This window comes from Homo sapiens, chromosome 8 (genome assembly GCF_000001405.40).
Source record: "Homo sapiens chromosome 8, GRCh38.p14 Primary Assembly".
NCBI classification, from domain to species: Eukaryota; Metazoa; Chordata; class Mammalia; order Primates; family Hominidae; genus Homo; species Homo sapiens.
Genome location: NC_000008.11, coordinates 56,516,633 through 56,541,936, shown reverse-complemented (window position 1 = coordinate 56,541,936; position 25,304 = coordinate 56,516,633). Strand labels below are relative to the sequence as shown.

The 25,304-nt window shown below is 43.2% G+C and overlaps 2 long non-coding RNA genes across 2 annotated transcripts in view; one reads left to right on the top strand and one right to left on the bottom strand.

The window, feature by feature from the left end:
* Positions 1-23,619, top strand: part of LINC00968 (long intergenic non-protein coding RNA 968) — a 41,506-nt gene extending 17,887 nt beyond the window's left edge. Inside the window, exons 2-3 of the long non-coding RNA NR_038236.1 lie at positions 21,370-21,816; positions 21,917-23,619. This is a non-coding gene — a long non-coding RNA (long intergenic non-protein coding RNA 968). The remainder of the gene's footprint in view (positions 1-21,369; positions 21,817-21,916) is intronic.
* The window catches only part of PENK-AS1 (PENK antisense RNA 1), a 106,261-nt gene that overhangs the window by 10,131 nt on the left and 70,826 nt on the right, over positions 1-25,304 (bottom strand). The window lies entirely within an intron of this gene.

The following is a 25,304-nucleotide window of genomic DNA, read 5'->3' as shown; positions in this document are numbered from 1 at the left end:
TATTCTTGGCCATGTGACATGATCTAAACTAAGTTTCCTGGTGGTTTTCTTTTCTTTTTCTCTTTTTAAGTGAGGTTTTGCCTGACAATCTAGAAACTGAACACACTCTGACAGGTGATGCTATTTGAAGCATTTGTTACTGTGAGGATAGGAGGCGTGAGGCGGGGCACCTAGCAGATTCACCTCCCTCTGTCCCCAGAGAAAGTTTCTGAGCTTCGTGGAGCTCATGTGCCTCAAGCGTGTGGCTTCTGCCTTTCCATTTTCCGTTGACACAAGTACACCTGTGGTAGCAAACGGGTCTGGAACACATGTGCTGCGGCTGAGGATCCAGCAAACCATACCTGAGTGTGCACTGTGTGCCTGGCACTGCATTCCACCTGGGATGTGCACTGTTTGGTTTAATCCTCCCTACCATCCCACAGGATAGATATATTTCTGTCCACATTGTACAGATGTGGAAACTGGGTTACTGAAAGTTTAAGTGCTAAGATCACCGAGCCAGTCTGTGACTCTAGCAGAGGCGCTTATCCAGGGGAGATTTGGCCCCTCGCCTCTGTCCTTTAAAATGTGGATTGGACTGGCCAGGAGCAGCCAGACTCGGGTTAAATACTTGTGCTGTTTGATTTCCTTTTATTTTTCTGATATGTGTTCTCCTTGGAAAAAGAAATGGACCAGGAAAGGTAGATGGAAATCTCCTTTAAGATGAAAAATGCTCATAACACATAGAATCACTGGAAGCACTTACATTGCCATGGAGAACGAAGGGGTCATCATCACGTGGATGTTAGCTTTTTTAGCAGCTTTTTTGTGCCCTACCTACGTCTGAGTGCCTCGATTCCACCTTCATGACAAATGAAACAGGGGCCTCAGAAAGCAAGGGGAGGGGAAAGGGAGTTGATGCGCCTCCTCTCCATTGTAGAGAAGGCCTTGCTGCAAGCATCACTTCAGATTTGCCTCTGCTTGTCCATAAAGGCCCAAAAAGAATGAACTGGACAAACATTCTCATGGACCTCTGGAAAAAACAAACTGCATTTTGCAAGTTTTCCCATTTTCCCCGGAAATGTTATGCTCTAATCAACCTGGTGCTCAGCTGCAGGGAAGTGTTTGTGGTGTCCAAGCAGTGGCTGCTGCCCAGAGAGAGAAACTACTTGCACCTCCATTCACTCAATCCCATCCACATCTTTTCCCAGGGTACCCAGGCTCATAAACTCCAGCAGATCTCCACCCAGGCATGCTGGGGTCTATGTTATAAAAGGCAGCATGTGGTAGAAAGGGGCTAAAATGAGAGTTAGCAGGCTTCAGTTGAGTCCATCTCTGCCACTTCCAAGTCGGGTAACTGGGTAAGCTAGTTGACGCTAAAACCCTGGCAACATAATGCAGGGTGCAGGTGAAGAACAAATGCAATGGAGCTCAACAAAGGGCTTTGTGAGCTCGAGAGCACAATTCGATGTCACCCCCTCCCTGACTAGCATGTGGGCTCCCCAGGTTGGAGCCCCTTTCCCTCTCCCCTGCATGTCCATCGCAGGCTTCAATGTGTCTGGCAGGCAGGTAAGTGCCCAGATCGCACACAGCCCTGGGACCTCAGAGGTGGCTGCGAGGAATGACACGTCCTTCCTTGTATCCAAGTCATCCTTCCACAATCACAGGACCTCTTTTTTGTTCTCAATTGAGAACATTAGGAGAGCTCTCTACTCTCACTGTGGTGGCTCCCTTGCCTGTCCCATGCACCCTGGCAGGAGGTCAGTGAGGGCAAGATGGGGAGACCAATCTCTCTCTCTCCCTGACTCTCCACCACTCTCCCCCACCCTACCCCCATCTCTCTCTGCCTCTGTGTATGTTGGTGCTTCTCTGCCCCGCCACTGTCTCTCCCTCTCTCTCTGCCTCTCTCTGTCTGCCTTTGTCTCCTCTCTTCCCTCTCTCTCTCCCTCTCTCCCTGCCTCTCCCCGCTTTCTCCCTCTCTCTCTCTCTCTCCTCCTCTGCCTCTCTGTCTCTTTCTCCCATCTCTGCCTCTCTCTCCCTCTGCCTCTCCCTCTCTCTCTCCTCCCTTGTCTTTTCCTCTCCTTCTGTCTGCCTTTCTATCTCTGCCTCTGTGTGTCTGTTTGTGCTTCTCTGCTCCCCGCTGCACTGTCTCTCCCTCTCTCTCTGCCTCTGTGTCTGCCTCTCTCTTTCTATCTCTCTCCCTCTCTCTGCCTCTGTGTGTGTGTGTGCTTCTCTGTCCCACCCCTCCACTGTCTCTCCCTCTCTCCCTGCCCCTCTGTCTCTCCCTCCCTTTCTCTCTCTGCATGTGTGTGTGTGTGTGTGTGTGTGTGTGTGTGCATGTGACAGTGCTTGCTTCTCTGGCCGCCCTCTCTCTCCTGCTGTCTCTCCCTCTCTCTCTCTCCTTCTCTCTGTGTCTTTCTCTCTTTCTCTCCCTCAGTCTCCTCCTTTCTCTCCCTTCCTCCCTCCCTCTGCAACTGCCACCCCCGAGCACGCTCATATTCCAGCTGCCACTGTGAGGTGAACACAGTCTCCACCTGCTTCAGGGGTGTGCCGCACAGAATGGGGAACCTGGCTTAGGAATTCCAGTTTGCTGTTGAGACATTTGGCTGTGGAAATGGCTGTTCCACTGAAGAGTGAGCACTTCGTCATAGAGACAGCATCTGTTTTGCCTCATGGGGAAAGGAGAATGATAGTTATTCTTTTTATTATGAGAACGCCAGGCTGTGCCAAGTACATTATTCCCATGCAGGGGAATTTTACTAGCACCATTGCCCTCCCTCCTCCTCCCCATTCTGTTCCTGCCCAGTGTTCTCCCTCTCCCATGACAGTGTCTTTCCCCAGCATGAGATTGCAAATGTCGTTTCCTGGCATCATACTTATGAAGGGGAATGAGAAGACACTTACCATTTTTATTAATTATATTCTGGGATTTTACAAAAACAAATTCATCTTAATTCTAAGAGACTATAGAATCAAATTCATCATGAAAGACTCCCATGATCACCAGGTCAGTTTTTTAGTAGATTGATAATGGACCTGTCACTCTTTGCCATTTCCACACAGGAAAATTGAAGTGCGAATTTGAGTGACCGTCTGTACGTCCAAAATGGAAAATGGCATTCATCAGACTACTTCTTTCTCTTATTTCATGTGTAACTCCTTAACAGAAAACAACTGCTGCACACGGAGGGCCTTATCAGACACAGGACAGGGACCACAGTATTAGCACTCAAGTGCTCATAGCCTTTCCCCCACCAAGCCCATCCATTCTGTGCACTGTTGGCCCCAGGGGAGACAAGGTAATTTTCTCCCTTCCTGGTCATCTTGGGGCCCAGACCACCAGCTGGAGAAATGATGCAGAGAGAGCAGGTAGGAGCTCCCTTCCAGGTGGGAAACGCAAGGCAGGCAGCCTCCTCTGACGATGCTGCCGTGGCTGGACTGAAATTGTGCTCACTTCCACTCAAGTGAGCAAAGCACATCTGTGTTGCTTATTTTCTACTATTGATCTTTCCTTCCTTAGTCTCCCACCCCATCAGCGCCACTGTACAGCAAGGGAGGGGAAAAGGACTTTTAAACGTGTCTATTCACAGGAAAGCAGTGTCCTAAGGCTTCTGACTGCCTCCTTCCTCACTGCAACTGTCATTTCAAGCGTATGCTCCTTCTCCAGCCTCTCCTGCCACAAGAGCACCCAGTGGGTGGGATACACATGGAGTTACCATGTCCCCAGGTGGGCAAGGGAGACACAGGTCTCAGGTCTGTGTGCAGCCAGTGTAGGCCCTGCTGTTTGGGCTCCTGCTGGCCTCTGCAGCAATGCAGTCCTCTCTGCCAGGCCCTGCTCACCTCTGCTCCTGAACCCTGCACCCGGCATCTCAAGGTCCATGTTGTCTCTGTCATGCGTAGCATCTTTCTCAGCTGCTGACGTGGCCTTGCTTTGGATCTCTCATCTATTCTGCAGCCCTTAGATAGGATTACCATGCCCCCTTTGACAAGGCCCCTGGGTGTTTACCCTCACCTAGTGATTCTGATCTCAGCCCGTCCGTCTCTCCTCTGGTACACGGGAACTCCAAAATACCTTCCAAGATACTCAAGGTCAAAATAGACTCATGGTCAATAAATTCTGAGCCTCGTCTGTCTACATACACCCACCTACCATACTATTTATTCTGATGTGGCTGTAGGATGCTTCTGGCAGGACCCCATGCAAGATGGTGTCAGTCTAGGCCCACCGGGTGAAGAAAAAAGGGCCTGTTGACTTTTAGCTTTGCTGCCATCCCATTCAATGCCACCCTCTCTTTCAAAAGTCTGCGCTCAGAGTGAGATTAATGCAGCAAACAGGGTTCGGTTGCTGCCTTTTAGAAAGGCTTGCCCACAATCCACAAGCCAGACAGAGCCACTTCCACAGGGTCATGCTCCTCCTTCCCAAAGGGGCTTCTGCCTTGTCCTCTTTTCCCGAATCATAAGGACTATTGGAGCAAAATGAGAAAGCCAGCTTGCAGGTAAGAGAAAATCCAAAATATTATTCTAATGATACTTTCTCCCCTCAAGCCTTCTACTAAATAATAATAATGACATACAGTTGTGGTCATTGTTAAAGAAAAAGGAAACACAGCAATCCATCTCAACATCACTGAATTTAAGTAATCAATGACTATAATAAGAAAGGGATGATTTAGGGGAAATTCTTATAGTGACAAAATGTTAGAACTAGAAGTTCCAGAATCATATAAAACATTTAGGACCTTTCTATTTTGTAGATGAGAAAGCTGAAATACTGCAAGTTGAAATGACTCGTCCTAGATCCCAGGTCTAGTGAAGAGTGAGCACCAGAAATCACATGTACTAGACTACCAGCAGTCAGATATAATCAGCCCCCAAATCTCCTGTGGTTCACTATATATAAAAGAAAAAAAAAAAACAAGGAATATCCAACCAAAACAAGGTAAATACACAGGAGGGTTCACTGGGCAAGAACAGATGCAAACCAGAGAGATTTTGAAGAGCCTGGGGTCTCTAGACAATTCGGCACTGCTGTGGATTTCATGTTTGTATCCCCTCTAAATACATATGTTGAAGCCCGAGCCCCCAGTGTGATGGTATTTGGAGATGGGGCCTTCGGGAGGTGATAAGGTCATTAAAGTGGAGCCCTCATGAATGACATTAGTGCCTTACAAGAAGAAGCAGGAGACAGCTTGCTTCCTCTCTCTCTCCCCATGTGAGGTCTGAAATTGTCTACAAACCAGGAAGAGGGCCCCCAGCAGAATCTGACCATGCTGGCACCCTGATCTCAGACTTCCCAGACTCCAGACTGTGTTAAATAAATTTCTGTTGTGTGAGCCACCCACTCTATGGTAATCTTTTATAGCAGTCTGAACAAACTAAGACAGGCACTTCAAAGAAAACGTCAATGCCATATTGGGCCATTTACTCAACAAGTTCTTAATAACAGTGTGCTATGTGCCAGGCACCATGGTACATCAGGGCAGAGCCGTAAGGAAGAGTAAAACAGCAATCTGGGAACTGGAGACCACACATTTCAAGAAGCAAATGAAAGAGGCCACTGAGCAAGAGGTTGGGATAAAGAAAGACAGAAATACAAGGGATAGTCCAGATTCTAAGCACCATGTTTGGCAAACCCCACACCATTTAGAAGATTGCACACAGAATCAACCATCTGCCCCAGGCAAGAAACTTCTAGGCTGCTTCTTGCTAAGGCAGAAGTCTCTCCCAATAAAGAATCCTCAGGAATGTGCCCTGCATACCAGCCCCATCCCACCAGACCCTTCCTGCTCCCCACCTCATAGACCTCTCTGGGACAACACCTGTTTCTAGCTTGGCTACTTTTCTGCTGGAAAATAACCAGGTGTACCTACCAAAGCAAAGGCTTCTGGTTATGTTACCAGAACACCAGGGGTTTGGCCTAGGTCCTCCTGCTTGCCATACAGCAAAAAGCCGAGCACTGAGACTTTTATTGCCAAGGAAGAAGGCTTTAATCAGGTGCTGCAGCCAAGGTGATGGGAGCCCAGTCTCAAACCCATCTCCCTGACCTACTAAAACTAGGGGTTTCTAAGTAGGGAAGAAACGTAACAATGTGTACAAGCAGGATAAATGAGGGGTCCTCCAATCTCATTGTCTGGATGTGGTGATCTGGTGAGTTTCAATTCTTTGACACTTTCTTTGAGAGACCTGAAGGTCATTTCCTGAGGAAGGAACTCAGATTAAACAAATGTAAGGTGTAAGCTTTAAGACCAGAAGGGTCAAGTTCTGTGTTTATGCAAGAAACTATCTATGGGATTATTGGGTTGGTTTCAGTTAGCTAAATGTTCACCTTTCCATTGTCACTATTTGGACACAAATTTCCTCTCTGTTTTCCCTTCCCCTCCTCTCTACATTTTTTGCCTGTGCAAAGGAAACTTGGAAAATCAGAACAGTAAGAACAATTTTTCAACCACCATGATTCCAGCAAAAAGGATTTTCTAATCACAAGAAATCCTCCAAATGGAGACACAAAATTCTTCACTTAAACAAGATTGTGCTTTATAGAGTGGAGGAGATAAATGTGTCATGTAAACCCCTGTAAAATATTTCTGTTGGTAAAGTATGTTAGATATACAATTGTTATCAGTAAGTATTTTATAACAATGAATTGCATTGTAAATGCGACATCTAGAAGGCTTTTAAACTATTCCTTTTAAAAAATTTACATCTTCCTCGTTCCAAAAACGTTTAAGGTGGGGGAAAATCCTATTACTAGTTGTACGTGGTAGTTTCCTTCCATGTCACACTCTCAGAGTTTAGCATAGCACTAGATCTGTTGTTCACATTGCATTGATGGTTGGCCCTTAAACAACACAGTTTTAAACTTTGAGGATCCACTTACAGGTGGATTTCCTCCTACTTTGCTGCCCCTGAAACAGCAAGACCAACCCTCCTCTTTCTCTTCCTCCTCAGCCTACTCAACATAAGATGATGAGGATGAAGACCTTTATGGTGATCCACTTCTACTTAATGAATAGTAAATATATTTTCTCTTCCTTACAATTTTCTTAATAATAACATCTTTTTCTGTAGCGTACTTTATTGTAAGAATACAGTATTTAACACATATGATACACAAAATATGTGTTAGTCAACTGTTTATGTTATTGGTAAGGCTTATGGTCAACAGTAAGCTATTAGTAGTTAAGTTTGGGGAAAGTCAAAAGTTATATGTGGATTTTTGATTGTGCAGGAGTTCAGCGCCCCTGACTCCCAAATTGTTCAAGGGTCAACTGCACTTACAATGCTATCCTGTTTCATATTTTATTGTCCATAAGATGGAAAGTAGACACATGTTGTAAAATTTTTGTGCCATAATTTAACTTTTTTCCCTTTTTGGTGATGCCATGATATTTCCATAATTCAGAGAGAATTGTGGACTATGTGAATGTCCTGCTACACCACAACGCATGCCTAACCCTTCAGAGACCTCACTCTTTCTTTCCCCGGTCTCACATCTATTGTGATGAGATGATGCAGTGATGGGCATGCACCCTGCCTGAAGTTCTTAGCCCAAATTGAGCTCTCCTCATTCGGGTTCAGACAGCTTTCCTGACTTCTTGGCCCACAGGCCCCATACACTGCATGCCCTGGCTACTCTGATGCCTTATGCTCCTACTGTCCTATTGTCACTCCTTACTTTCTCTCCATCTGGGGATATTCTTCCCCAAATCATGCCATGAAATCTCCCTCATCCTCCCCCTCTCTCCAGACACACTTTCCTGGTGTTCAATTTTCAGATAATTGTTTCTTTCAGTTACTTGGATTCCTGCCTTATTTACCCATCTGTATGTGGAATTGTATCTGTCACTTTGCTGCGCGCTCTGCTCCCACTCACCCTTGGATCCTGACCAATGCATCCTATCATCAGGTCCCATGAGCCTTGAAAGGCAAACCTTACAGACCCTCATTCTTCAAGCATCCCTTCATTCATCCGACAAATATTTCCTTCGTGCCTAATATGTGCAAGGGCTTCTGTAAGTTGGGGCTGACTCAGGAATACCTTACCCTGTGCTTTTGGTCAGCTTTTTGCTTGGTCTCCTCTTCTTGGCTCTGAATTCCTGGCCTGTGCCTCATCCCTCATACCTCATACCTATGCCTCAGGACCTGGGCATTAGACTTATCTTCCTGACATCACAGAGCTGAATTCCACTATCCTCTCCAGTTCCTCATGATCACTTTCTGCTCCTGGACTTGGCCCCACCGAGCCCTATTCCTGAGTCAACACTAGATGGTTCCCCAGCAGGCCTGCAGCCCTCCATCCCTCCATTGCTGCCCTGCCATGCAACAGTCATTTGTTTCTAGATCCACAGTATGTGGGTCTTTTATTGAAAACTAACAATAAAAAATTAAATTAAAAAATCCTCAAGAGGAGGCAATTAATCTATTAGTCTAGTTACTGTGTTTTTCCAACTGTGTATTGTACAGCAGAAGCTCTGTTCCTTTCTATTTTGTCTCGGTGAGGTCGCATGATGATATTCCCTGACTTTGACTTTCAACTATTCCTGAGCCTCTTTGGCTTAGCAAATGATTAGGTTTGAGCCAAGCTGAGGCTGTCTCAGAAAGTAACTGTGCATTTCTCAACAAGCCAGTGGGGCACTTTGTTCTCTTTGTTCTTCTTAGGTAGTTAACACCTGCTCGTTCTGCAGCTCATACAGTCATGAAATGTTGAGATAGAAGCAGGGGAGGGAAAGATCACCTCACCCCACTTTCCATCCTATGTCATAATTCAGCCTATAGGGAGGCTGATGTTGACAGAGATTATTTACGTCACAAGGAAGTTCCTTTTTTGGAAGTGTACTTTTGTGTGTGTGTGTGTGTGTGTGTGTGTGTGTGTGTGTGTGTGTGACTGAGTTTCTCTCTGTTTCCCAGGCTGGAGTGCAATGACACAATCTCGGCTCACTGCAACCCCAACCTCCACCTCCCAGGTTCAAGAGATTCTCCTGCTTTAGCCTCCCAAGTAGCTGAGATTACAGGTACCCGCCACCACGCCCAGCTAATTTTTTATATTTTTAGTAGAGACAGAGTTTCACCATGTTGGTCAAGCTGGTCTCAAACTCCTGACCTCAGGTGATCCACCCACCTCAGCCTCCCAAAGTGCTGGGATTACAGGAGTGCACCACCGCGTTTGGCCGGAAGTATACGTTTTCAACCTTTCTACTTATGGTGGGTTAAATTGGAGCATTGAGCAAGGGACAAATGCCCTGAATGTTCTTGACCCACCAGTCTTCCACTGTCCAGGGCTCATTGTCACTGATGGAAGGCAAAGCAGTGGTCCAGGCAGCCACACCAGCCCAGCCAGCCCTGTAGGGCCAAAATGGTACATCCAGGCCACCTTGTCCTTCTGTTATAGTGAACCAAGTGATAACTCCCAAGACTTTTCTCCCAACCATCTTACTACTTTTAGAGGTTGTAAAAAATGTCAGTTTTCCATGAGATGTCCTTCCAGTACAGGAATGATAATTATTATCATAAGTACCAAATAATATAACACATGTAAAATGCCTGGCTGTTCTGTATGGTTAAATAAATGATCATGGTATGATTTCACAAATCACTCAGTTTATTGCCATACAAAGAGATATTTTTTCTTTTGGGTCACAATGCATTAAACGTGAACACATCTTACAGGGAATACCCTCGATTAGATGAAGTCCATTTACCACATAGTGGGTGAGCTTCAAACTTAGTAAAGTCAAATTGCTCAAGTGGGATGGAATCAGGCCTCTGTGGAAAGGAGAGTCTAATCAAAGACTGAGGTGTACCTTTACACAAGCAGTTCTCAGAAGAGATGGCATCCAACGCAGCAGAGATCTGTGACTACTAGAAGGCACCTGGAAGCTGGCTTACTTTGTTTTGTCAGAGAAGTGGCTAGTGGAGTGCAGCCTAAGCTCTCAGAGTATCTGTGAAACTCTGGAGTTTCTATGTATTTGAAGTTCAGCAGCTGACATGTGCGGTCTCATAATGTGTGATGTCACATTCTCAAGACAGCAGGAAAACCCTCCAAGTTCTCCTCACAGCAAAACATGTCACTCACATAGAAAACCACAAAAGTGGAATCATTTCAAGGCTCCATAATACTGGCACAGTATCTGGCACAGAGAGGGCATTTGAGAGGCACTGGGTTTGCAACAAATATTTTAAGGGATCTAGGTTTCCGCCTTTGGTTTTTTCTCTTCTCTAGCTGTTATCCAAACCTAATTAGTGTCCCCTTATGACACGGATTGGTAAGCAATTCTTCCTCATATTCTGGCATAAACTATACACGTGAACATAGCCTCATCCACCCCCTCAGGCATAAACTGTAAATAAACGAAGTTCTACTTTTGCCTTGTAAAATGTATACCCTTTGTCATATCTTTATTTTGAAAAAATATAAAAATTTTCATTTATTTCCCTAGATTTTCAAGAAATAATACCTTAATTTGAATTACAGCAGGGAATTAAAGTTTTTGCTTGTTAAATAGTCCAAAGAGAACAGCTTGACTAATATCATATCTTTAAAGACTGTCATGTGGAGATTTGCCTTGGCTTTTTAGAAGGCAGATATATAACTGTTCAGGTGTCTCTAAATGACCAAAATATCCAAAAGATGCCAAAGAATAAGAATGAAGAGCATATGAGAAGGAATCTGAAGTATAAGGAAGCATTTAGCCGGGCGCGGTGGCTCACGCCTGTAATCCCAGCACTTTGGGAGGCCGAGGCAGGCGGATCACAAGATCAGGAGATTGAGACCATCTTGGCTAACACGGTGAAACCCCGTCTCTACTAAAAATATCAAAAAAAAAAAAAATTTGGCGGGCATAGTGGCGGGTGCCTGTAGTCCCAGCTACTTGGGAGGCTGAGGCAGGAGAATGGCGTGAACCCAGGAGGCGGAGCTTGCAGTGAGCCAAGATAGCACCACTGCACTCCAACCGGGGCAATAGAGCAAGACTCCGTCTCAAAAAAAAAAAAAAAAAAAAAAGGGGGGAAGCATTTAAATGACTGTGTTTACAATCTTAAATCAACTCTATTAAGTAATAAATAGTGAAAGTTGCATTGACACTTATATATATACATTTTTTTTTTGAGACTGAGTTTTGCTCTTGTTACCCAGGCTGGAGTGCAAAGGCACGATCTCCACCTCCCGGGTTCAAGCTATTTTCCTGCCTCAGCCTCCTGAGTACCTGGGACTACAGGCGCACGCCACCACGCCCAGCTAATTTTTGTATTTTTAGTAGAGATGGGGTTTCACCATCTTGGCCAGGATGGTCTCAATCTCCTGACCTTGTGATCCACCCACCTCAGCCTCCCAAAGAGCTGGGATTACAGGCATGAGCCACTGCGCCTGGCCCAGTTAAAATATTTTACTCCAGGATTACAAGAACGGTAAATTTCTTTATTCAAACTTGTAGTGGGTGAGCTCTTTTAATAGAATATTTCATTTTAGTCTTCATCTTTCTTCACAGTGATATCTTAGTTTGTACAACACTGTACAATTTTCAAAGATACCATCGTAAACCCTTAAGCCTTTTAGAAATCTTACAAGTCAGGCTGTTTGACTCCCAGTCTGGTACTTGAGCCTCTTCAATGCATCCAGCATCCCGATGCTCACTCCTGGAGCCTCTGGCAATCCCACACCTCCCACAATGGGGAGTCTGTTTCCTTCTAACACAGCTCATTGCACATTTATGGCTCTGTACCTCAAAGTCATCTGTAAATATTTTACTCCTACAACAAGTAATTGTACATTGTATTCCTGTAAGATGTTTATAAGACTGATATTGAAATGGGAAAAGTTCCCTTTCCCCCCTCAGATAGCATGGGATGGGGGTGTGGCTCACTTCTTCAGTGCTCAGACCTCTAGGGGAGCATACAGATGGGCAGGCTCTGGGGCTCCAAGTCCACAGCAGTGTCTGGGGGTGAATGCTTACAGCTCCTGAAGTCCCAGTGAGCATGTGTTACAGGATGCTCTTTTAGTTTAGCTGTCCATAGGCAGCTTGTGTTAGTCAGCTCAATTAGACCCTCTACCTTATCACAAGGACAAAGGGCTTTCTGTATCCCTGGGTTCTTGTTTTGACGTACCAGAAAAATCGGATCACACGTGGCCTTGGAGAATGAGTGCAAGGTTTCATTAAGTGGAAGTAGCTCTCAGCAGATGGGGGAGCCAGAAGGGAGATGGTTTTCCCCTAGAGTCGGGCTCTTGGTGGCCCAGGCTCTCCTCCAACTGCCCCAGCCAAACTCCATGTCCTTCTGCTTCTGCCGATCGGTGGCCTACTGGCGTGCTGGTGCCTATTGGTGCATTCCTCTGGATGTTCAGCTGCCTGTGTGTTCCCCCACTGATGTGTTCCTCTGGAAGTCCAGCTGCCTGTGCTTCTGCCTACTGGGGTGGGGGCGGGGGGCAGTGTTTATAGGCACAGGATGGGCATGGCAGGCCAGGGTGATCTTGGGCAATGCAACATTTGGGCAGGAAATGCCTATCCTCACCAAGGTCCGTGGGGGTGGAGGCTTGGCCAGGGGCCACGCCCTCCTCTACCCAGCATTTCCCTTCCCAGCTTCAGTATCATTTAAAGGGACCATACTCTTTCCTTCCCAGCACTTCGGTACCAAAATTACTATTTTAAATGAAAAACATAGAAATTTTATTCCAACCTGTATCATTATTCAAACTAATAAAATACAACCCAAATTTAGTCATTATGCAAGAAATGTTCTCTAAGGATGAGGAAATGAGGTTTAAACAATGCCAACTGATGCCGAACTATCCCTCAACATCTGAATCACAAAGCTGAAACCAGAACTCAAATCTGCTATTTCCTAGTAACTCTGTTCAATAACATCTCATTTTCAATCAATAGGCCTCCAACTCCCTCATAAGACAATATACACATCAAATGATGAGACCAGTTACAACTAGTGTGGTCTTTTCCTCATTGATGTGGCTGGAAATTTTGACTCCAAATAAAGCCTAGACTTTAGCATCTTGTCTCTAAGACAAATCAGATTTTAAAACTTAACGGTTATTTTCGTAAAACAAGCAATAGACTCAGCCTGGTTTAAAATTTAGTACATCACCAGATGTTTCTTTCACCAAAGAGAATCACAGGCATTGTGTAGGAATGACACCTGCCAATTCTTAGAATGTCTGATTTCAATAGTACATTTTTAGCTGAATGGCAATCATGGAAATATAAGCTGCATTTGGTTCTCCAAGATTCCAGCATTTGGAGCTAGGTACTGTTGCTTTAAATATTATATAAGCATTGAAATTTACATGCCTACCAGCACTAGCATGAATTAGCCTCTTTGAATCATGAATATCCTTAAAACAAAGCTATGAGCAAAACGTTAGCAATTTCTAAGTTGCACTTACTTTTGACCACAATGGTCCCAGAAATATTTTTCCTAGGCACTTTTTATTTACCATTAATTATCAAATTACTTTAAATTGGCAGTATTTTTAAAGACACTATATAATTATGTGTCTCATATATCAGCAGGTGCTCACATTACTCAGAGTTTTTCAGTCATGGGAAAGTTAATTATAATAACCTTAATTGTTTCTCTGCAACAGTAAAAATGGACCCTGAAAAATACCACTAGGGGCTTAATGTTTGACACACAGATAAAAATGAGCAGAGATTTTTTTTTTGTAAGCCGCTGCATTAAATCACATAATTGGACAGAAAAGATTTAGGTGCAATTTGTTTTTGTAATTGTATTCTAAGTGGTGTAATTTTTAATTATACACAGAGAGTTCAATGTTCATTCCTTGAATTTTTAAGCTGAGATTTTTCTTTTCTACCTGCAGCTCCTTTGTTCAGGCTTGCTTCTTTTTTGACATGGATTGTTTGAATTCCTAACTCAACAATAAATTCACAGCTTCCTAAGTTTTACTTGTGCAATGGTAAAATGAAAAACATATAGCTTGGGAAATACAGCACAACTCTGGAAAAAAAGTAATAATCATTTTCTCTAATTAAGAAATTTTTTGAGAATGGTATAAGGTTGTTCCTTTCTATCCTTTCTTCTTTAGGCAAAGATCAGCTGCCTTTGACGTCTGACACAATCACATGCATATAATGTGACAGTTACCAATTCTGTACTTTTCCAGACATCAGTCCGTACTCCCTTGCCTTCACCTCAGTTTTAGTACAGCAGGAAGCCCACAGCCATGCTGTTAATGGCTGACGTCGTGGTTGTTGTCCCTCGGCACCCCAGTGTGTGGTTTCCTAGCTTGATTTGCCCAGTAATGTGTCAGAGACTGAGTTGTAGCTGATGTACAGGGTCCAACTCACATCAGACTGATTTGGATGAAAACCCAAATAGGCAATCACACTTTCTAGTAGAAAATCTTGTTGGGGCATCAACATTAAGATCTGAAAATATGGCCGGGTGCGGTGGCTCACACCTGTAATCCGAGCACTTTGGGAGGCCGAGACGGGGGGATCACGAGGTCAGGAGTTTGAGATCAGCCCGGCCAACATGGTGAAAAACCGTTTCTACTAAAAATGCAAAAATTAGCTGGGCATGGTAGTGGGCACCTGTAATCCCAGCTACTTGGGAGGCTAAGGCGGGAGAATCATTTGAACTTGGGAGGTGGAGATTGCAGTGAGCCGAGATCGTGCCACTGCACTCCAGCCTGGGTGACATGAGTGAAACTCCAACTCAAAAATAATAATAATAATAATAATAATAATAATAATCTGAAGATATTTGAGGGAGAATGCATACCAGCAATAGTAGTAGTAGCAGCAGCAGCAGTAGTTAACTGACCTAAAGAAAGAAAAGACCAATATCTGGACACACCTTTTAAGGGTTGGGCCCCATTTCCACAGTGAACCTTGGAATGGATTGGTCCTCAGCTTTCTTCATGTCTCTTTTTTCAGACCCTGAGTTGCCTCACTCTTTCTTCTGACCACAATAAGCATTACTTCCTTTCAAGAAGACTGCCAAATCTGCCCTTAGAAAAGACAAAAACAAACATAATTTAGAAAAAACTTAACTGCAAAAATATGCTTCAACTAGGTATTCAAAGTAGTGAAAAACTAGAGAAAATGTGGTAGGTACAGTGGAAAGAGAACAAGCTTCGGAAAGCCATCTCATTATTTGGAATCACAACCCCTGCTCAGAAACATACCCTGATATGGTTTGGCTCTGTGTCCCCACCCAAATCAAGGAAGGGACCTGGTGGGAGGTGATTGGATCATGGGGGCGGGTTCCCCCATGCTGTTCTTGTGACAGTGAGAGGGTTCTCATAAGATTTGATGGTTTTAAAAGTGACTGTTTCCCCTGTGCTCTCTCGCTCTCACTCTGTTTCTCTCCTGCCACCATGAGAAGATATACCTTGCTTCCCCTTCACCTTCCACCATGACTGGAAGTTTCCTCAGATCTCTCCAACCATGCAGAACTGTGAGTCAATTAAGCCTCCTCTCTATAAATTACCCAATCTCAGGTAGTATCTTTATAGCAGTGTCAGAACAAACTAATACAGAGGACTGGAGGCTGAGGCAGGAGAATTGCTTGAGGTTAGGAGTTCAAGACCCGCCTGGGCAACATAGTAAGAGCCTGTATCTACAAACTATACAAAAATTAGCTGGGCATAGTGTTGTGCACCTATAGTCTCAACTACTGAGGAGGCTGAGGCAGGAGGATCACTTGAGCCCATGAGATTGAAGCCGCAGTGAGCTATGAATGTGCCACTGCACTCTGGCCTGGGCGACAGGGCAAGATCCTGTCTCAAATATATATATATATATATGTTTATCTGGTCTTTTCCCCCAGTTCTTAACACAGAGCTTTAAAACTCCTTGGCATTTCCTGAGTGATGGAAGTAACTTTGTTACGCTAAGGAGGTGATTAGTGGTGGGTGTCTGGATAGCTTCAGGAGGGGGAGTTGGTCCCAGAGAGACCATGTGTGTATTAGAGAGCTGGACTTTCAGCCACCTAACCTTTGGGAAGAAGAGCTGGAGATCGAGTTCAATCAAGTGGCCAATGGTTTAATAAAACCCCAATAAAAACCCTTGCATCAAGGCTCAGAGGAGCCTCTTGGTTGGTGAACTGATGATGTGCAAGGAGGGCAATTCTTTGAGGACAGGGCATGAAAGTTCTGCCTCTGGCTCTGTGCTTATCCCTTGTAAAAAGAAAATAAAATCTTTGGACTCCACACTTGATATGCCAAAGAAAAAAGTTAAGCTTGAGAACTCAAATGAAACAAACAAATCTTCCTCCTTTTGTCCTCAGAGAGCTGTGATTCCACATGCTTACTTTACCTGATTTAAATGTAGATCTACCAAGAGCAAGATGCATGCACAACTGACTTTCCCCAACTTCTGTCTTTGGACAGGTAAAATGTGGATTCAATGAGCATTAATCAAAACCTCACAAGAATGTAGCCACTGGCCTCATTGCCCATCTTCCTCTTTCTAGTTTCTTTCATCATTTCCCTCCTACCCAATCTTTCCCATTTAAATATTGAAGTCCTCAAAACCCTCTTTGGAAAAGGCACAGGCCACAGATCCTATTGTGATTTGTGTTTCTTTTTCCTGGGTGCACCTTCGGCCTTGGCAAAATAAACCTCTATACTGATTGATATCTGTCTTGGACACTTTTTGGTTTACACCCTTATAATAAAACTGTAAGAGGCCAGGCACAGTGGCTCACGCCTGTAATCCCAGGACTTTGGGAGGCCAAGGAGGGCGAATCACAAAGTCAAGAGATGGAGACCATCCTGGCCAACATGGTGAAAACTTATCTCTACTAAAAATACAAAAATTAGCTCGGTGTAGTGTCATGTGCCTGTAGTCCCAGCTACTTGGGAGGCTGAGGCAGGAAAATCACTTGAACCCGGGAGGCGGAATTGCAGTGAGCTGAGATTGTCCCATTGCACTCCAGCCTGGTGACAGAGCGAGACTCCGTCTCAAACAAACAAACAAAAATTGTAAGAGTAAGTATAATGCTTTTCTGGGTTCTGTGAGGCATTCCTGTGAATTATCCAAACTGAAGCACTCATCAGTCAGAATTGTGGGGGATCCGGGGGGGCCTGGAACTTGCTGCTGGCCTCTGAGGTGAGGGCTATCTTATGGAAGACTTAACCCTTCATTGTAGGGTCTGACACTAGCTCTGGATCATTAGTGTCAGAATTTAATTGCACCACCCCCAGTTCGGGTGGAAAAGGAGCTAGAACAATCATACCTGGCTTTAATTATTATATAAACTTCATTCAAAATCACCAAAGTTCAGACAAATTCTGTTTCCCCACATTGTCATTGAAAATCTCTGCGTGGTTCCAGATTACAAGTCAGGGTGTAAGTCAGGGATCTGCAGCAAAGATAAATGAGAGAGACATCCCCAGCAGGGCAGGGAGGTCTGCATTCAAGGCAAATGTGGACCCTCAGTTTTTCATAGTGTAATAGAAGGCCACAAGAGTGGCTTTTGAAATACTTATGTGTTACAAAGCCAAAAAAAATGACTCTTACGACAGAATATCCAGGCCAGTGAGCAGGCTCGTTCCTATTCCCAGAGGACAGGCTGGGGGTGCAAAACAGCCTAGCAACATGTAGATTTCCTTGCAAGAGACAAGGGCACAGCCAGATCTCTGTCCTCAGGAGGGAGTCAGACCTGAGAGGTGTTCCTTTTTTAGATGTGCAAAAGAAACAACAGTCTGACTTCCCAAAAATAGGGGAAGTTAATTAAATTATAAGACATCATCTAAAGTTAAATTATAAGACGTCATCTAAAGAACACTATGTAGCCATTACCAATCATGTTGCAAAAGTGAAATCCTGTGGAAAGCTATTCACCATTGATTAAGTAGAAAAACGCTAGTGACTGAACAGTGCTTTCGAATGAGCCCTGGAGGATGGGGTAGCCCAAACCCTCTCACACAATCTCTTTCCCTCATTCCAGCACATTCTTCAGGCAGCCCTCTTGTGGCCTCCCAGTCACCATTCCCAGTCTCCAAAATGCTAGTCTTTTCCAGGTCCTCTTCTCTCTACGAGAAGAATGATAAAAGGAAGGAAAGCAGGGAAGGAGTGGGAGATAATTGGTCTTGCTTTGTAAGTCTTCATCTAGGTAACCTGCTACCTCAATATACTTATGACTGAGGAGCTCCAGGGAGCTGAAATGTTTATCAGTCCAGGTAAGATGATTGATTTTAACTTGAGCCAAGTGAGGGATTCATTTATTCAATGAACGGAAATTGGGCATCTACGAAGTACCAAAGAATGAGAGGAGGGCAAAGAATACAGACATAAAAAAGGCAGTCCAGCCTTCCAGTGAGCAAGGTGACAGCAGCATGAGCCCATGCATTAGCAATTTTAGAGCAAGAAGCAAGCAGCTGTCTGCAGAAGTAAGGAAAAACTTCGCAGAGGAGACAAAGTCCCCTAGGATCTGAAAGGTGGAGCAGGAATGTCATGCAGGAAAGGGCGAATGGAAATTTCAGAGAGGAAAATCACAAAATGCAATGCGAGGCTCAGCCTGCTTTGGAAACAGGGAGATGTCCAGTGTACGCGGAGTATAAAAAGTGGTTGGATGCGTGTCTTCTTCCAAGCACTTCAATCATTAATTTTAAATCACCGGTTCTTCTCTCTATCCCTTCAGATTGCAAGTTTCCTCGCAGTGTCTTACCCATCTTTATTTTCCCTGTGCCTTGCATACATTAGGTATGCAATAGTACTTATTGACCTGAACTTAGGCAAGAAGTAAATGGGGTTGGATGTGAAGGGCTCTGTGACATGTGGAGTTTGGACTTCATCTCATACACTCTTAGGGAGAGGTTGGAGGCTCTGCTGAAGACTTTGTTAGGGTGAAGGAAGCACATATGGCTTTTAGAGGGAAAATCTGCTGGCTCTGTGTGTGTGTATTGGGGACTACAGGAAACAACTACAGTAGTGAGGGATCAGAGGCAGGAAGGACAGCAATGGAACTGTGATGATTTCACAGGTTTAGGATATATATGCCACAGAAGCAATAGTTTCTGGTGACCAATGCACTACTAAGAAGTTGTAGTCAAAACTAACTCTATGAAAAATGGGTGGCTGCAGGCATACACCATGACTGGGAACAGAGAAGGCAGATAAATTTTATGCTTGAGGGGATTAACCTAAATTTTGGATTAACCTAAATTAGCTTTGATGTCTATAGTTCTTAGAGGAAGCAATCAGGAGGCAACTGAAAATCTGGGTCAGGGACGTGATAGAAAATGGAAGCCATGCAGATTTGATAGAAGTCGTGATAGAACTAGGAAAGAGGACTAAGGACATGACCAGGGAGCCACATTAAGTGTTAGGCCAAGGAGGGTGGACAGGAGGAGAAAAAGGGTGATCCAGTGGGCACAGGGAGGGAGCTCTGAAAGCCATCAGGCCATTGTGAAGCTCAGCAGAAGGCGTTTGGGAATAATTGTGTAATGAGTTGCCAAGTGTATGAGGAACTGCAGACTCTCATGAAGAAAGTTACAGTAAACCAATCTCTGCATGATGTGTTGCTGCAGGAAGATGGTCCTGACTTTCCACAATCCCGAAGGCTCTGCTTTGCCTTTCTGCATCTAACTTTCCTGCCTTCTGCCTCCATCTTCTACAAGCCCAGGCTTGGAAGCAGAATCACAAGGAAATTGCTGCAATTCCACAGTACAGAAAAGCTTCAAAGGAAAGCCACATCTCCCAGATCTAGGGATAAGAGGGGAAAATGCATCCACTCTTTGCTCTTTGCAGCAGCTCTTCCTATACCTGGCTAGTTCCATTTCGATGCTCCAGTATTTGTCACCCTGAGCTGAAACAACATGAAAGAAACTCATTTTGAGGAATGTTTCTTTCTGCACATTTTCTTTTGCTCATGCAGAGTAGTTTAGATCCTTTGGCTGCAAAAAAGATAAGCCACTTGTGACAGAGTAACATTTTGAAGATAAATTACTTGGCCCACCACCCGTATTTCACAACCATTTACTCGTGTACTTCCACCTCTTTGCTATTTAGTAAGCACAGCCAAAAATGGCAATGCTCTGAAAAGTAAATTCTGCCTTATTTCTAAAATTATATATATCCATCTACTATAAGTAATGACTCTATAATAAGTTTAGCACAGACTCATTGTTCTAATTTAAATATGAGCATAAATTTTCCTTTAACATATTAGGTAATATTTTTGAAAGTTTTAATATTTTTAACCATGTTATTATGAAAGGAACTTCATATTTCATTTACAACAGTTTAGGAAAAAGGAAAAGAACCGTTACTTCAGAAAAGAATGAAGGCTGTCTGAGTAATAATGCTGTCATACTTTGAAATTCAAAGCAGTGTCTTTGCTATCTTTATCAGAAAGAGTAAAATGCCACCTTATTTTGAAAATTATTCAGGACTTATTGAAAACAACCAAGTAGATGGCTTCTCTATAATAAAACAGATTCTACTGATAGACTTTTAGGAGAGAAGGATTATAACCCTTCAAAAGTGTGTGATTTCTAGTGACACACACATTTGTTTTCACAACTACTTTTAACATAAACCTATATTCATGATCTTGGATAGAACAGAGGAAAAACAAGAAAAACCATGCACACATATTTCTTTACATTAATCAGATGTTAACATTAAAGCCATGTTTTATTTCTAATTAAAAGCAGCTCCAAGAGAACAAAAAACAAAAATAAACAACAACACAACAGAAAACTTAGCATTCTCTTTATGCAGTGCAGGACATAATATTGGAAAATCAGTCCTTCTACTTAGCCACACTTAATGTCAAAATCAAGTGGGGATGGGACCAATTATTTCTCACAAAAACAAGCCTTTAAAAGAAAAGTAAGGTAGCTAAAAGATTTACAGTCTCTTCAATGGTGACCCAAATCATGTTATTCTCAGAATGCAAAGGGCTTCAGCATATTTGCAGCTGCTGTTTTCTCTGCCAGGAATGCTTGTCCTTTGGTTCTTCCCATTTCTAGATTCTTCTCATCCTTTGCAATGAGATGTACGCCTACAGAAAGGCCTTCCTGAATCACCTTACCTACATTGCATCTGAAACAAGTTCTTGTCTCCTGGAATCCCGTTAGCGTCTTCTATTGCACTAATCTGAATCTGCCATCATCTCTGTCTTTATCTTATTTTTCTCTTGTTTCCTAGCATATTGTTTGTCTCCCTCCATAAAATATCAGCTCATCCAGGACATGAGCTGGCTCAATCTTACTGTTAAGACCCTCAGGGCCTGGAGCAGGGCCTGGCACAGAGTAGGCAGGCACTCAATAAACTTCTGGGCTCTACTAAAGTTGTTGTCATCACTGTAAAATAATATTTCATGTATTTTACAAAGAAGATAGGTCTTCTGTGCTCAGTTTCAGGCCCTGGAGGTCCATGCTTCTGCCCAAGCTGTGTCTCATCTCTGCAGGTGGAGCCCAGTTGACAGGAAATGTTTCTCCAGAAGCTGAAAAGCTGCCTGGTAAAGGCCTTTCATAAAATGGTCTGCGTTTGGGACCAGGAAGACAGAAGACTCCTCAAGAAGAGAACTGGAACCTTAACCCACTTCAGACTTCTTCATGTCTGAAGCTTATTTCCACCATCCCATTGAGAACCAAAGAAGCGAGCTCCTTGGAGAATCGGCTCCCACCTGGACCTTCTGTTTATCCTTCCAATAGCTGCTGCATTCATCCTTCCCAGCTAATGACACTTCCAGCCTTTCGTGTTTCAAAGTATCACGGACTTTGCAAAAGATTCCAGGTTTCTATGGAGCAGATAGTACTTTTAACAATCAACATGTGCATTATTATTTCCTCCTAAGGCATACTTAGACATCAATGCATGCTACAGCAAGGCAACTTATCTCACCCTCACCAAGGTATGAACTTCAGAATTTGAACTTGTTCCTTTGGGGTAAGTTGTATCACCAGCACTCACTAACAGACTGTATTTTCCAGTGAGGTTTCATTCTGTTTCAGATATTCTGCACTTTCAGTGGCAAAATTTTAAAGAAAAGGAGACAAAATGGAACACAAATTCAATATGACTATTGTCATCCTTCCCTCCCAGGAAGTGTAGGAATCATCCAAAGTGGTAAAAGAGCAGCGCTTCTAAACTCTGACTTCACATGGAAAATAACGCGACTACTAAAACTGATAACAATAGCAGTCCATGCCATTTGACAGGGGTGTGTAGGAGAGGTGGTGAGCAAGCTGAAATCCCTTCAGGTATTTGCAGAACTTCTGAGCAAAAGCTAAAGCTAAAATTAACATTAAATATGCAAAGTATTTTTAACCCAACATAAATTAACAATGTTCCTATTTCAATTCTATTGCTCTTGGGATGACTATGTCCTTTGGAAAATGTTTAAATAACTTAAGATTTCCGTCATGAGTTTACTATTTCAAAACTTATTTTTTTAACTGCAAGATACCTTTTTATGTTACCAGGAGTGTTACCAGCTAGCTGCCAAAACCTGGTTGAAGTTCTCCCACTTTATATTGTAAATGATTACATAGTTTATTAGTAATTGTGTCCCCTGTCCACCCACTGGTCCATTTGGATGGGAAAATTTTCAAAATAACTTCATAAGAAAATGATAAGAAAAATGTGGTCACCGGTATCATGAGGAACTTCCAGACAGCTCAGCACAGAAAAGTTGGTTTTAAAGTCCTCGAAAACGTTACTGGTAATGAGCTTCCACTCCTTTAGTCGTTGTGCATAGATACACCACAGAGTAAGGTTATAAAAATAAAAGTTGTTTCAGGAAATTTCCCATTGCTTTATTACATGATCAATGAGAGTAAAGAGAAATGGAAGTTGACGGGATAGGAATGAGGGACCTGCTGGAAGAGTGATCACAATATCCAAAGGAAATTTAAAATGCCTGTTGAAAGTGACACACTGACTCAGCATTGTCACTAACACAGAATCACCACAATAAAACTGCCCTGCCCTGTGGCTCCTGGCACCTCATGTCTCTTTAGGTTAAGCAGAGAGAGGTCTGTGTTGCTTTGGAACAAGGTGCAGCCTCCCCCTAAGCTACAGAGAGGCTCTGAGCAAGGACCAGCCCCCAGGGTGCAGCCTTGCCCACCCTCCACAGGCTCCAGAGCAGATGGGGTGGCTCTAGAGAGCAAATGGTCAAAACTTCTAGCGCTAAATAGAGCTTTAACATGTCTCAGATACTAGCAAAATAGAGAAGCCTCAGATGGCTTTAGGTCTGGAAGTGTGTTGCTAAAAATGCTAAAAATTTAACAAACTTTTATAAATCCTTAAGAGATCTTTTTCAGTTTTCTGAAGTACCGTTAATTGCCCATGTGTTTCAACTTGCAGACAGGCAAGAATTTGGCTTTGTATGTTTAAAAATATGTACATCTTGGTTCATAATGATGATTTATTTCCAAAATGGTGACTCATACTAGGATTACATATAAAACATCATATGTGGGCCTTATATGTAATAATGTGTAAGTATAGTATATTAATTACTCTGACATAACATGGGCAGAGATTTGTATTAATTTATTTCTATTTCATCTAATCAATATTTTACTTAAGTCTAAAACCTTATATATATATTGACATGTATCATCGTATATATAAACATTGTATCTATTGAACTGAGCAATCTGTAGTTTATTTTAAATTCTGATACATTAAAGATGTGGAGAACTACATGAAATCATAGGAAATTTTTCATTCAAATAAAAATTGCAAAGAGCCATTCCTAAATGGCAACCTGGTTTTAGCTGCAAAGACAGAAAGTGATAAGAAGAGACCCCGAAAATATAAGTTATGCAAAATGTCAACTTATACATAGATGGCTAAACTCAGGGTTCACTGTCTGGACTTAGCAGAGAACATGTTTGCAGAAAAAGAAAATGGAGGCCGGGTGCAGTGGCTAATGCCTGTAATCCCAGCACTTCGGGAGGCTGAGGTGGGTGGATCACCTGAGGTCAGGAGTTTGAGACCAGCCTGGCCAATATGGTGAAACTCTGTCTCTACTAAAAATACAAAAATTAGCTGGGCGTGGTGGTGTGCGCCTGTAATCCCAGCTACTCAGGAGGCTGAGACAGGAGAATCGCTTGAACACAGGAGGCAGAGGTTGCAGTGAGTGGAGATCGCGCCACTGCACTCCAGCCTGGGAGACAGAGCAAGACTCCGTCTGAAAAAAAAAAAGAAAGAAAAGAAAAGAAACTGGAGACTAGTTATTATCATCAGGAAAGTCAAATGATGGAACAAATAGAAATGAGAATCTGTAGATAAAAATTATAGATTCACATAGCATCAATTCTAATTTCAAGTTTGATTGTCTGGTCCCAGTAGGCTCTATCTATAGTTCAATTACGATCAATGCTGTATTGACGTTGACAAAATCTGAAAAAGATGCTTCAATGAATGCTTAAGTTAAATAGGTCTCAAACAAAATAAGGAAAAGGAAAAGAAGAAATAAGAAGGAGGAGGAGAAGAGGAGGAGGAGGAGGGGAAAGAGGAGGGAGAATCAAGCTATCTATTTCATTAAAGCCATCTCAAGCAGCAAACTTTGGACTACATTGTCATCACTATACTAGAAATAGACTGTGTCTATACACTAAGTATACTGTAGCAGGTTTCCATTACTAGCCAGCCTCCAAGACCACTGACTTAATTTTCTGCTGTTTAGAGTCATGCATAATTTAAATTGATCAAATACTTTTCTAATGCTCTATTCCTATCCCAGATGTAATATACCTTTCTATTCCTTGTCAAATCTTAAGAAATAGTAGCCCTAAGGATGCAAAGTTGCTGAAAGTGCATCAAGGCAAGAAACAAATTCCTCTTCCCTTTATTCCACAAACACTGTCCTCACCGACCTGAGGTTTCCAGCAAGGGAACTGTATATCAAGCAGGCACAGGAATTGCCCCTGGTGTTCAGGATTTACAATCCAAGAAACAGCATGTTAGCAAAAGTACTCCCCTAAAAAGTCATCTTGGCTTGTTTTGATTAAGTCTATTTCCTTTTTTATTTATAGTAGAAGAGGTGCCGGACAACTCGTATGAAAGCATACCGTATCTCTTGCCTTCTACAGAACATGCAATTGTTTCCTACCCGTGGATCTCGTTTCTAAATGAACATTTATGGTCCTCCATAATCTGTCTCTGCTTTCTTCTGCTCATATTTATCTTCCTGTACTTCTCAAAATGAATCCTAAGTTCTAACCAGGACAATTTTCTAACTGTTTTTCCTACTTACTCTTGTTCTCTTTTTTTTTTCTCTTTTGAGACAGGGTCTTGCTGTGTTGCCCAGGCTAGAGTGCAGTGGCATGATCTCAGCTCACTGCAACCTCCGCCTCCTGGGTTCAAGGGATTCTCCTGCCTCAGCCTCCC